At 40.3% G+C, this 13852-nt stretch overlaps 1 protein-coding gene and 1 long non-coding RNA gene across 61 annotated transcripts in view; one reads left to right on the top strand and one right to left on the bottom strand.

Moving 5' to 3' along the window:
* Positions 1 to 13852, bottom strand: part of CELF2 (CUGBP Elav-like family member 2) — an 874126-nt gene that overhangs the window by 234274 nt on the left and 626000 nt on the right. The window lies entirely within an intron of this gene.
* Positions 1 to 13852, top strand: part of CELF2-AS2 (CELF2 antisense RNA 2) — a 33948-nt gene that overhangs the window by 3087 nt on the left and 17009 nt on the right. Inside the window, exons 2-4 of the long non-coding RNA NR_046108.1 lie at positions 3928 to 4330; positions 4993 to 5117; positions 5980 to 6100. This is a non-coding gene — a long non-coding RNA (CELF2 antisense RNA 2). The remainder of the gene's footprint in view (positions 1 to 3927; positions 4331 to 4992; positions 5118 to 5979; positions 6101 to 13852) is intronic.

Below are 13852 nucleotides of genomic sequence, written 5' to 3'. Positions count from 1 at the left end.
AGTAAAGTTACCTTATGAACTGAGAATTGCTTAGATGTTTAAATTTGTTTCTTATACAAAGAAGAACCAGCTAATGCCTTTCTCTTTTAATTGATTACTTTAGAATTAGCACAGTCGGGCAAGTATCTTGAAATCCACTGAAGTCCTATTTTTGCCATGGACTGGAAGGAAGGCTTAAGTAAAAGCTATTGCTACTTCTGTGAATTTATTTTTGCTTAGGTAATGGATTCACTGGATTACAGTCTGGTCTAAGAATGTCAAATTCAGAAACTATGCAACTTCAATGTGGTAAGTAAAATTGACAGGGACACTATTATACTAATCAACCACAGTGGCTTATCAAGAGCTCTACCATGACAATTAGTTCAGTAAAGGCCCATGATGCTTCTATATGAAAGAAAAAAACACCCTTAAAAACACATTTTTACAATTTGGACTATAACTTTATTATGGGAGTTTGATGCTTTCTCCCAGGAAATTGCTTTAAACCAGGATACCTCAACAATAATGATATTTTCCTGTCATTATTGAAATTGTCAACAAAAGTACAGATCATTATAATTCCATATAAGATACAAAGAATGGAGCAGTAAACTAGATACATTTCCCACAGGATGATATTAAAGGAAAATTATTCCAGGCAAGGGAGAAATGATGCTTGGTATGCAGAGGTTACAAGTGTTTCCGTTGTGCTACAGTGGTAAAAACCTACCAGTCAGCCAGTTATTAAGGGTGGATCCTTGCTGTGTGGAAAGCACAGCTAATTTTCTACAAAGAAGTTTTAGATCATGATGTTGCCAATATCTGACTGTACCTGAATTAGTGGACAAAGTCATTTATGATACTACCCAGGTTGTCAATTTCTCTGACCTTGAAACCCTCTCATGTCTTGGGTTCTTTGACATTAACACTCTCCTGGTGCTCTATGTCTTGAGAGCTAGCCCTCTCTAACTTCTTCACAGTCTCATCTTCCTCTACCTAGCTCAGGAATCATTAAGCAATCTCATTCACACCCATGGCTGAAATTACACCTATATACAGTCACCATTTACATGTTCAACCAAGACCTTTCTTATGACATACCGATCTGTACATCCTATTTTCTATTTGGTATTTCCATTTGGATGTCTCAGAAGTATTGTAATTCACCCCACATATCGGAAGCCTCAAGTTGCTGATCATTCCCTCCAAACCTGATCCCTTTCAGCGAACTAGCTCTCTAACACCACCATTCATTCAAGTACACCAGTAAGAAATCCAAGAGTCATCATTTATACCATCATCTCTCACCCTCCATATCCAATCCATCATAATATCCTATTGATTTCCCCTTCTAAATCTCTCTCAAACACCCATAAAAGAAACAGGATTCAGAAACAAAGCATTTTAGAAACAGTCAAGTCTCAAAATCTAACTAGACAGCCCCAAAGGTGTTTAGTGGAATAAACACCTCTTTGCCTGGTGTTTCAACGTGCTGCCATCTGCATCCTAATGCGGATTTTGTTTCATTGAATGCAACCTTCCAATTCACAGAAGAGAAGAAAATCAGAGAGCTGGTATGGGAGACCTCCCTTGACAACAAACACAGAAAGAGAGTTACTTTGCTTTTCCTATCTCCAAGGTACCTGTTCATTGGGCTTGCAATGTTAAACATTGTTCTGTGCTTTAAAAACATCTCACATTATAAAATGCTACGGGAACTCTTTGTGGATAGGAAAAACCCTGCACATTATTTCATTCATGGACTTAATGTTTGAATGGTGGGGATTGGTATGAAGCGTGTCAGATGGGTTGAGTATCATCTTTTTCAAATATAAGAATGAATTTCACAGACTTCTGAAAGTTCCCTTTTCATTTCCTAGAGGGTATACCCTCTAGGAAATGAAAGTGAGTTCCATTCATATTTATTAGGAACTCACATGTGGTCCTGAATGAAGGTGTCCTCTCACCTATGAATAACGCATGTTAAGGACTTATCCATGTAACCAAAACAACCTGTACCCCAAAAACTACTGGAGTAAAAATTTAAAAATTAAAAAGTATGTGGAATTCCTAGGAATGGAAAAGGGCCAAGAGGATTTTCTACAATTAGCATCACCCTTAGCTGACATTCCACATCATCAACTTGTTGGCCTTGGGTGACTATGAATTATAAACTTTATTTATTTATTTATTTATTTTATTTATTTATTTATTTTGAGACAGAGTCTCGCTCTGTCACCCAGGCTGGAGTGCAGTGGCGCCATCTACGCTCACTGCAACCTCTGCCTCCTGGGTCCAAGTGATTCTTCTGCCTCAGCCTCCTGGGCAACTGGAATTTCAGAGGAGCCCACCACCATGCCCGGCTATTTTTTGTATTTTTTAGTAGGGACGGGGTTTCGCCATGTTGGCTAGGCTGATCTCAAACGCCTGACCTCAGGTGATCTGCCCATCTGAGCCTCCCAAAGTGCTGGGATTATGGGCATGAGCCACCACGCCCAGCTTAAGCTGTTTTTTCTGTTTTTTTTTTTTTTTTTTGTTGTTGTTGTTGTTTTAATGTAGAAACAAGGAGTTTCCAATAATAGGGGTAACTATGTAATGTATAATAAATTCAGAGTTTTACCAATAAAAATAGTGGCAACCTACCACTTTACGAGAAAGATTCTGCAATTTACACAATAATGTATAGAAATAAAATAGTCCACAAAGAAAAGCCAAATATATTACGGTAACAAAGAAATGTGTTGAAGAATAATTTTACCTGATTATGAGTAGCACCGACTACAAAAATTTCTGTAAAATTAAGTTACATTGGTGTTAATGCTGCCACAACTCATCAGAAGTGGAAACAGAAGGAAATCGGGAATTCTATGCTCATGAGCTAGTCCCCTTTTTAATCCATCTCTAAAATGTATCTGTTTAAGGCAAAGACCTCGTAAAGAGCCAACGAACAGAAGAAGAAAAGAATCGACCCCAAGGTCATTTTAAATGAGAAATAAAATCTGGAGGGAAACCACGCCAGAATTTATTGAAAAACAGATTTTTCTCCTTCAAAAATGTTATTAAAAAATACGAATGTTTTTGTGACTTATTGCCAAGTATATGTTATAAGCTCTCTGCTTCTCAGATGTACCACACTGTACAATGTGATGGATGGGGGCTATTAATCATTTTTACTGAAGAGCAGAACAGCCCATGCAACACAGTGGTATTAAAAAAAGGTGTAGGTATTCTAAGAGTACATTCGTTTCCTCATAAAATCACATTTCATGTATCCCTTGGTTTTTCAAATAGTTCCTTCCAACTGATTCACGTATTTTGCTGGTCCTGAAAGATGGGACGCTGTGTGGGGCAAAGGGTTGTCTCATGGCCCCCAGGACGACGGTCCTAATTCATTCTCTGGCGAAACTTTTATCTGAAGTCATCTGTGCGTTTCTTATGGCAAAGCTTATCTGCATTTCTGTCTGTTATCTGCATTTTAAACCAAACCCAGTTTTAAATATTCTCCTGCTGGACTGTGCCCAAACTGAGGGGATGAGAGAGGTTCGGGGAAGCTGCTCTCACGCGTGGCCTGCTGCCCAGGTAGAATTATCACCCGGTGCAGAGCCAAGAAGCCTCGGTCAAATCAGCTGTCCAGCAGTTCATAGAAATTAACCACACAGATAAAGGACAAAGTGGCCGCAGTTTACAGAAAAGTAAGGCCAGACATTCTACTGTATCCAGGGCCTTTGTTATTTCTACAGAGAAAACAGTGTGCTCATGACACATTTATACTTATCATGCATTATTTGTCTAAAATGGAAAAAAAATGAGCGTGCTCACTGTGCCTTTCTAAAGGAATATGTGATGATTTCAGTGTCTGTTATCTCTTTTTGGGCCCTCTTCCTCATCCATTTTTTCCCTCATTTCTTCCCTAACTGCCCTTTCCTCTGTGATTCCTTTTTCAAGGCTGAAGAACTGTTATCCCTCTGCAGTACATGGGGGTTTGAGCTCACGTCAATGTGCCTGACCTAAGGGCAAATGGAGCTAAGCAGGAGGGAGAATTAGACACTTGCCACGGCTTGGAGACAGGGTCTACTGCTCTCTGCTGAACCAGAGGAAAGAACACACTGGCTCCTGAACCTTCGCAGGAAGACAAGGCGAGGGCTGCTGGGTGCCCGTCGCTGCTCACAGCACAGAACGTCCCACTCCTCAGACTCTTTGTCCCCGTCCTAAGACTGTCCTTCACTTGGTCCATCCAATCCAAAATATGGGCATACGAAACACACCTCATCCTTCACACACACAACATGCTCAACCTTCACTAGCCACGTGACTTTCTTTCTCACATCATCCTGAATTTGCTTTTCTGGTGAGTACCCAGGGACAGCCCTGGTTCAGTGATGAGGCCTCACAGCCTGTGGTGAGTGCTCACTGTTAGTGTGGCTTTGACTGGAACACAGTCCCTGCAGGGTGGCATCCAGTGCTCCCTGACTCCATGCATGAGGTGTCATGTGGTCAGTGGCCGCATGGGTTAAACCCCAGAAGGCCAGACCTGGAGGAGAGATCCAGCTCCAGCCCATCTGGGAAGTCCCTGATCGGGGGTGATGATGGTGACAAAGGTTGGTTGACCAGAGAGATCCACCATCCACCATTTGGGGATGTCCCTACCAGGTTGAGTACAGTGTGAGGAAAACCCCGTAGAAACTCAGGTACCCAGGAGGATCCTAAAACCAAAAAGGCAAGAACAGAATATGCTATACATGGGCACTTGGTGACAAAGAATAGAGACAAAAACTTGGTTTTCAGAAGTATAAGGTCAAAGATAGTTAGTGATGGTGCCAAGCTACCCACTATTGAACCGGAGCACTCAATTCCCTGGTCCCAGAGTCAGGGTAGACCACAACCTTATTATAACCCAAGTGGCTCGAGGCAGAGATAGCATCGAAAGGTCCTATCATTGGGTATTTTATTTTCCCAGACTGCATTTCCATCTCTCATGCATATCTCTTCTCCTAAATCCTCCCAACTCAGAAATTTACTTTTCAATCTTCTGACTTTTCTTCATACCTAAGAAGACTGGACAAAGTGCTTGAAAAGCAAATGGAAACATTTTATGAATAACTACGCAAAGGAAAGACATATAAATATTTTTAAAGGCAAGTTTTTAACGTTAATGGTTCAATGAAATACCTCTCCTATGTTATCTTAATTTTTTACTACAAACATACCAGGAAAACAAATGTGATGGGCAGCTCTACTTTTGTTGGGATACTTATGGGAAATACTATACATCACTAAATTGCATTAACTAAAAAAAGATTTGGAAATTGCCCAGGGAAAACATGATCAGGAGAATTTTGTGAGGAAGAGCACTACTCCTCCAGCCACATTTTCTGAATCAGGGATAAAAACTCTTCGTTTCCTATTGTTTTTAACTCCCATTAGACTGGCATACATTTAAAGACATAAGGAACTAGTAATATAGAAAGGAAGGAAGGAAAGGAGGAGGAGGAGTGGGTTAGAAAGAAGCTTCTGTCAGACCTCGTCAGATTAAGGTCAAGTATAGAATTCTCATTAGTTTCCAGTTCATTTAAATTCGGGCTACAGTGATTTGAAAGTAACCTCCATCATCCTGGTAGATAGAGGACAAGTAAGCAGGTCTGCAGGGCTACACAGAGAGAGTGACTTGTTGCTTCCTAAGTTACAACCAAAAGATACTCAGAATTGCTTCTGAGCCAAGGTTTTTGTTTGGTTTGGTTTTGTCATTTCGGTCAAACTCTTTGAAGAGGGATTCCATGGAGAAAAGCTTTGCCCATGCCCAGTCTGGCCATACAACCCAACACAGGCTGCTCTCAGTTAGCTCCGTGCAACAGACTTGAGAGATTGCAGCAGTTTCCTTGATTCTTAACTGCTTTTATTTTCCATTTTTATTTAAGATACTTAATTTGTTTTTAGTGATTTACTCTTCTTTGTAATTAGATTTAGTGATTAGCGATTATCTTTTCCTTGGCAATGCAGTTTCCCTTCTACAGAAATGAGCTTAAGTCAACACTACAGTTGCCACTAAGTGTAAGGATTCGTGAAGGGGAAAACGACGGACTCCCTTCCCTCTGTTCTTCTCAAGTAATGCAAATTAGAGGTAAGACAAAGAAAGAAGTAATTAGCAGGAGGGAGGCAACAAAATGGATATTTTAAATGCAGAATCCATTCATAACATAGCACTTCTCAAGAGAGCTCTTCTAATAGATTACCTTGCTGAAATGCATTATTTAAGCTTTAGTTGTTCAGAGGTAGAAGTAAATGCATTTCCTCTGCATTGGTGCATAATGCGCTTCAAATAAATGCAGGTCAACATGAGGCTACTTGTTTGTTTTTGCAAAATCGGGTATCAGTACAAAGGCAGGAGGAGGTAGAAGGAGCTGTTAATACCTATGGATGCGAGGTAGGTGTCCAGACATACTTTCATGATAATGTTCAATACATATGGCAAAATGTTACACTGTAAATTCTAAGGATATTTTTTTTTTAAATATAGTTTTCCTTAAAAAATCAGCTAAAATAAATGCATCCTTTTTCACAAGGGAGTTTCACAAATGGTTTCATCACTTTCTTCCCGATTCTAAGTGTTGGCCTCATAATTTGTGAGAATTTCATTTCGAAGCGTCTCCTGTCATGATGATGAATGCCAACGCCAGCTTCTCCTAGTGGGGAGCACTGCGTGCCTGCCTCCATCACTCTCTTTTTCTGGTTGCGAAACAAAAATTCTACCACAACCTCTTTCAAGTTGAAAGGCAACAGGCCTTTTCCCAAGCTGAGATGCTGTTTCCCAGTGACAACTCATTGTTACAGTTAAAAATGTGGGCAAAAGATATGCAAGCTTATATGCCTGTTAAACCTCAGCTGCCCTCCCCCTGCAGGTCGTGGATTTAAAAACATCTCTTAGCTTCATCTTAGCTCCAGGTAAACTCACGAGCTACTGCAGAAAACATGCCGAATGCCGGGGCACTGAGACGGCTACATACAGTCACGGATGGGACTCTGCCACGGTCCTCAGTCACATTTACCCAAATGACACATTGTGGGATGATGCCGCACACAACCGCCAGCTACCACACTACTTCCACCCAAATGCAAGGATGCTCATTCTAATGAAGTCACAAACTCTGCTTAGTAGCCTGCTGATGTGTGTTACATGTGCATGCTTCTCTCAGAAAAAGAGAATCTCAAAGCATCTGGTTAACAATCATAGGAAGAAACTTCGCTTTGTAAACCCCCTACGCAAAGTATCACGGGGGCCACGCATCAAGGCCAGTGCTGATCTGGGTGCCTCATTAAAAATAAAAACCAAAAATGACATAAATATAATTAAAAGGGATGAATGATTGACAGGAATGATAAACAACCTTCAAGATCAAAAGCAAATCGAATCCAGTTATTACTCTACCAAAAATATAAAAATGTAATTATACTGTTTTCACACATCATTATTTGCCATTTTGGGAAATTAGAATGGACACATTAATTAATGTAGAAAATGATATTCAATTAAAACAAGTGCAGTGTATCCTTCAAGGTTTTGCACTAGAGTTCTTGTCAATGTCCCCTACTGAGGGGATTACACCAAGCAGTCTCATATGTGTTCATTCGATGGCTAAGGTATTTTGTATGTCAGGGACATATTCTTCCTCGTGAAGATTCAGAAACCAAATGACGGACACTCTAACATGGATGGACACATGATGGGCAGTCTTTTTCCCAGAGTGCTTAAAACACTCTTTTCTACCTTTAAAAATAAATCAGCCGATGTATTTAACATATAGACACAGCTCTCACTTCCCTTTTGCTTTTTTTCCCCTTCCAAAGAAATTGTTGTCAGGAAAAAGCTGGTTGCTATGGAAGCCTTATTGTCGACCACTTCAGTATGAGAAGGTTGGAAAACATTCAACCATTTCAAGTCACCTGATTTACTAAACATTCCCAAGTTCATTATAATAAGAATGAGGAAGAAGAGACAGACAAGGTAGTTTCAAAAAAAACAATGCAGCTCTTTGCCCACAAGTGGACTGCATATCCTAGTAACCAGAACCTCTATAACCACGGCTAATTTGGACAAACTTTTCTTCCAACGCCATGCTTACAAATGATGGCATTTTAGAAAAACAGCAGATTCTTATGGCTCTAAAATAACACACAGTTCTTGTCACTGTTGTGTACTTAGCGTAAAGTTAATGTTCTGCAATTCAATTCAGTTACGCAGCTAGGTCGCCAGCAAGTTAATTTGCCACAAAGACATGTTTCATAAACACCAGGGCAAATACAGCACTGCAATACACAGAAAGTGGCTTTATAAACTGGCCTGAAAAATGGAATGGCTTCCAGTACCATGTGGACATTGAATCTCCGAGAACTCATATCGACTGTTGTGTGGTTGGTCTGATCTCATCTGTAATACCATTAGCAGAAATGAACTGTAACCAATTGTTAAGTGGCTACTAATTGTCCATGACAATGATGGAAAACACTGACTCAACCTTAGAAGAGTTAATTTCTTCTGAGTGGTAGAGATACAATCTGAAGCCATCATAATTATATCACAGGTTGACCTTATTAGTCAGTCATTCTGGAGTTCTAACTGTAAAACAGAGATTAAGAAATAAGTGGTAAGCTGAGATTACATAGACAATTTGGACCATGTTAACGGAATTGACTGGCTGATTCAGTTGAAAAAAGGGCCTGGACAAGGCATGTAAAAAAAAACTGCTCCCTGATGAATCAAAATTGCTGAACTATTTTATAGTTGTAGATTATTAGTATATCAAGTTTGTTTAAAGCTTTGCTTGACATATAGGAACAGTTTCACTATGACACTCAATTTGATGACTTGAAGGTAGTGATTTGCTACAATTACGGAGCTGGGATATGCATAGGGCTATTGATTTGATTAGGTAATCTTACTCTTCTTCCTCCTCTTTTCCATCCTTCTCCACATCCCTAGTTTGCATGCCACAGATTGACTTACATAAATAAATTAAAATTTTTATTAGTTTAAATTTCACAATACCCTTTGTGAAGACAGAAATACCCTGAGGTGTAGCTAAAATAATGTTGGGTGTTAGGACTTTCAAGACTAAGCCCCAATCCTGGGAATAGTCCACTGGAATTTTCACATTAATTCCCAAACACCAAACTGTGGCCCAATAAACACCATCTCAAGAGGGAACAGACCAAATGTCCCACAAATGATTGAGAGCAGCATGAACTTCTTCTTCTGTAGAACTCAACTTAACAGCAGATGCAAAAAAGCTAGAGGAGACAATTACAAGTAACTGCATCACTTTGCATCTATCAGCATGCTAAGTCCCTGACAGAGTAAGAAATTAAGACTGATGCCAATCAAGACGTACAGCCTCCTATTATTACACAGTGGAATGGACGGAATTGCACTGGACAGCATCTGAAACGCCAGGAAAGGCATCTCCCAACAGACAAGTGCAAAGAAAAGTTGAGCTGCAAATTTAGAGGTGATAAAGTAAGATATCTGTCTCCTATGTCTGGATGGATTCACTCAGCTGTGGACTGAGTGTTCGTTTAGCAGTCTAGAATGCTGATGGGGTTCAGGCCATGCTATCCCAAACTGTGGCATCTTGGCATTTGTGAAAACAGCACAGGCAAGAGGGCCACTCTCACCTTCTTCCCTGAAGCAATTCACAAAACCTGGAAAGAATTTTCTGGCCTTGTCTATACCCAGAGAAGAGGAACATCCTTATCTCTGAAGAAACAGGGACTACAGAGAAGAATTTGAACAAACAAGCCTTGTTAAGTCTCCTTAGTTCAAAACCATGAGATCATACCCTTCTTTCCTCCAATCATATTTCTGCATGACTGTTAAAAACACAGTTCTCCCTGTTTCTTCAGCTCTTCATTTCCTTATGAAGGCGCCCACGTAACGTTAAATAAATCTATCTGCTTTTCTTTTCTTAATCTTTTGTTATGAGGGTCTCAGCTATGAACCTTGCAATGGGTGAAAATGTTTTCTCCCCTACAGTGCCTGGAATAAGGGGACCAAGGCCTGAGATCAAGGATAAAGTGGTGTCCGCCAACAACCTCTTGTTTGTGTTTTGATCACCATCATTATTCTAATAAAGGAAGCTGAAAGTTGTATTACATTTCTTAAAACGTGTTTAAAAGTTGAGGGGGAGAAGCAAACACTGTGTGATGTTAAGAATAAGTAACACCTATGAATAAGGTAAGGTGGCAGTGGTAGACTGTGCCCTTCCATTGTCATACTGGGGCCCTTCAGAGGCCTGTATGGGGATTATTTCATTCTCTCAGAAGAAGGATCTATCTCTGATTTTGCTCTTTGGCCTTGGATTAGAAGTTACAGATTAAATTCTAGATGTATGTCTAGTTGAAATGATCATCCCAATGGTTATGGTTTTATTACGTTCTAGGATATTGATCAGTATTATATATAACTGAGAAATTTTATTCTGCTTTTCTAAATGCCTGTAAATACCTGGTTCTGCAAATGCACTTTAAGCCAACGTTACCGTCTTACTGGTTTCCTCATGAACGAGTTATATCTGTGAGAATCGTTCATTCTGTATTTGATTGAGAGTCATGTTTTTAACTTGGAGAAGATTTTGACAGTGGTAAGTTCATGTTTAGTCATTCATGGTAATTTTATTGCTTGCCTTTCCCCATTTTTCTGTGGGTTAAATTTTTCTACTAGTTTCATTTCACAAAATGAGTTCAGAAACTACTAGGCTGGTAGGGGAAAAAAATTCGGGTTCGCCTCCATCTTCGATGTAACCTTTCCTTGTATTGCTGTCAATCAGCAGAGAACATGCTCGTTTGACTGCAGAAGGCTGCAACGTAGTATTTCCTCACAAATCTAGTTTACCCTGTCTTTAAAAAATGAGGAAAGGCATTGAAAGAAAAGGCAAAGCACATGAACTTTCTTGAAGGGATGTGCCATGTACTCAAGGCCTCATCTCTTTCAGGTCCTAGGCATGGAGGTCAGTATTTTCTCAAGCCCAGAACAGGCTGATTAACTTCTGTAAAAGAGGCCATGTTTCTCACAAAAAATTTCATTCCTTTGCTGAACGGTTCCCCAGGGAGAACAGCCTTACCTCCCCTGTCCTGGAAGACCAGCGATTTCACTTAATGTCTTCTACTCAGTTGACTCAACGCCCACTTATTAAAATGATGGAACCTGAATTTGGTGTTTGTCGGGGACTGGGAGGAGCAGCTGTGCCCTAACATGTTATGTTAGGAAGCTGATTAGACAAAAAAGGAGAATCAAACATTCATACCATAGGCTTACTGCTTTATGTCTTTTTTTCTTGAAATCATCCTATTCAAAAGGAATTTCAGAAGGTAACTCATAATTGATATTTAAGTCTACACATGATCTTGAACACATTAACTATGGATTATAAAAGAATGATATTCAATACAATGATTACATGTTTTTAAAAAACGGAAGAATAAGTCTGTACATTTTCTTCTAATTTAACCATCGGTTGTTTATTTCTAGCCTGTATTTTTATTAAAAAGTTGTTTACATATGCACATATGATTTTTAACTTAGGTATCAATTTTCACCTAAACATTGATGACAGTATGACCTAACCCTCTTAAAACTCTTGTGGAATTCCATTAGATCACTTCCGTCCCACCCCAGTGCTAGAGAATAGAAAATAATCAGTAATTATTAGCCTTTTTCCTTATCACTACAATCTTAAATGGCTATGAAGTATTCTATTATGTAGATATATCATAATATCTTTACCTATTCTCTTATTGCTGGATATTTAGGCTGCCTCTAATTTTTCAAGATTATATATAATGCTATAATTTCAATATGTACATTTCCAAATTAAAAATCAATCTTTCAATGTCCTCTCAAGTGAGTCTGTTAAAATGTCTGAGTATTCTAACCTATAAAATCCTTTCCAACTATTAAACAGTAGAAAATAGAAATTCATTTGATTTTTTATTAATTGGGAGGAGGGAAAGAAGTACATAAAAGCAGCATATCCAGATTCAGACATGATGTACTTCATATTTTCTGAAGGTCAAAAATAAGTCCTTCAATCTGGGAGGAAAAAACTACCATTTATTCTTTTAAATACAAACATATACAAAAATCCTCTCTTTTCCTAAGTCTTCCACGATTACTTCTTCTACCGCCTTGTTTCCCTTCATAGCATTCAAGGTGCTCCCTAGGCCTACTTTTTTTTTTTTTTTCCCCAAATTTCATTTTAGATTCAGGGATTACATGTGCAGGTTTGTAACCTGGGTATATTGCGTGATGCTGAGGTTTGGGGTGTGAAATGATCCCATCACCCTGGTGCTGAGCATAGTACCCAGTAACTAGGTTTTGATGTCTGTCCCCTTCCCTTCCTCCCAACTCTTTGGAGTTCCTGGTGTCTATGGTTTCCATCTTCATGTCCATGAGTACCCAGTGTTCAGCTCCCACTTTCAAGTGACAACATGTGGTATTTGGTTTTCTGTTTCTCCATGAGTTCACTTAGGATAATGGCCTCCAACTCATCCACGTTGCTACAAAGGATATGATTTCATGCTTTTTTTTATGGCAACGAAGTATTCCATGGTACAACACATTTTCTTTATCCAACCTGGCACTGATGGGCACCTGGGTTGACTCCGTGTCTTTGCTATTGTGAACAGTGCTGTGATGAACATATGAGGGCATGTATATTTTTGGTAGGGTGATTTCTTCTCCTTTGGATATACCTCTCATGCCTTCTGCCTTCTCTCTACCTCGTTAATCCTTAAGCAATTGCCATCTGGCTTCTGCTTCCACCAGCCACTGAAACCTCTTTCAAAGACCATATACTGACACTCCTGTCTTCACGCTCTTCATTCATCTAGCCACTGTGGCTCATATTCTCCTCAGTCTGTCCCTCCCCTTCTTGGGTTCCTCATCCTGCTCTTCTAAATGTCGAGATGCCTGCAGCAGTTACGCTTATCTCTGGCCACTATCTCTGCTTTTATCTCCTTTCTTAAAAGTCTTCAATGTCTCTAGGCTGGTGTGTAAAGTCCTCTATCTTCAGTTACTACACCCTTTTCACCTTCAAAATCCTATGCGCACCTCAAACTCAGCAAGTGTTAACTGAATTAGTCATCTTTGCTGCCATCGGCTGCCAACCTCCACTGTGGCCTACTGTGTGTTTCAAAGATGGCTCCGGAAATTATTCCCATCCCACATGCTCTTTTGCAACGTGACCCTGCCATCCCCAATGACAGTGGGAGTCCAATCCTCTCCTCTTGAATCTGGGCTGGCTCTTAGGACTCTTGTCACCAAAAGGATGTGGCAGAAGTGGCACTGTTCAACTTTTGAGGCTAGGCTGAAAAGACTGTACAGCTTTCTCCTGGTTCTACTAGAAGGCTCCCCCCTACAGAAGCTCGCCTCTCTCAAACCCAGCAGCCGTGCCAATGGCAGCCCAACGCACGGGAGAGGCTTGCATGTGCTTCAGTCACCAGCTCCAGATGAGCCCAGTTTTCTGGTAACACTTCCCACCTGTCAGATGTGCTAGCGAGGACACCTCCAGATGACTCCAGTCCTCAGCCAGCTGAGTCACCTGTCATTTGAATTCTTCCAGCTGAGGCTCCCAGACATTGTCAGACAGAGACAAGCCATCCACCATCTCTGTGCCCTGTCCAAACTCCTGACCCACGCAGTCCATAAGGAAGAGGTTCTATGCAACTAAGTATGGGATGATGTGTTACACAGCAGTACCCACCACACCCAACAAAACCACCAGTGCTTCCTGGCTCCCTCTGCCTAAGACATGTGTTTCTGCACATCCATTCACACAGCCAAGAAGCATCATCATTTGAGAAATCCGGCTCTGCTAGGCTC

Source organism: Homo sapiens, chromosome 10 (assembly GCF_000001405.40).
Source record: "Homo sapiens chromosome 10, GRCh38.p14 Primary Assembly".
Classification (NCBI taxonomy): Eukaryota; Metazoa; Chordata; class Mammalia; order Primates; family Hominidae; genus Homo; species Homo sapiens.
This window is presented reverse-complemented; position numbering and strand designations above follow the sequence as displayed.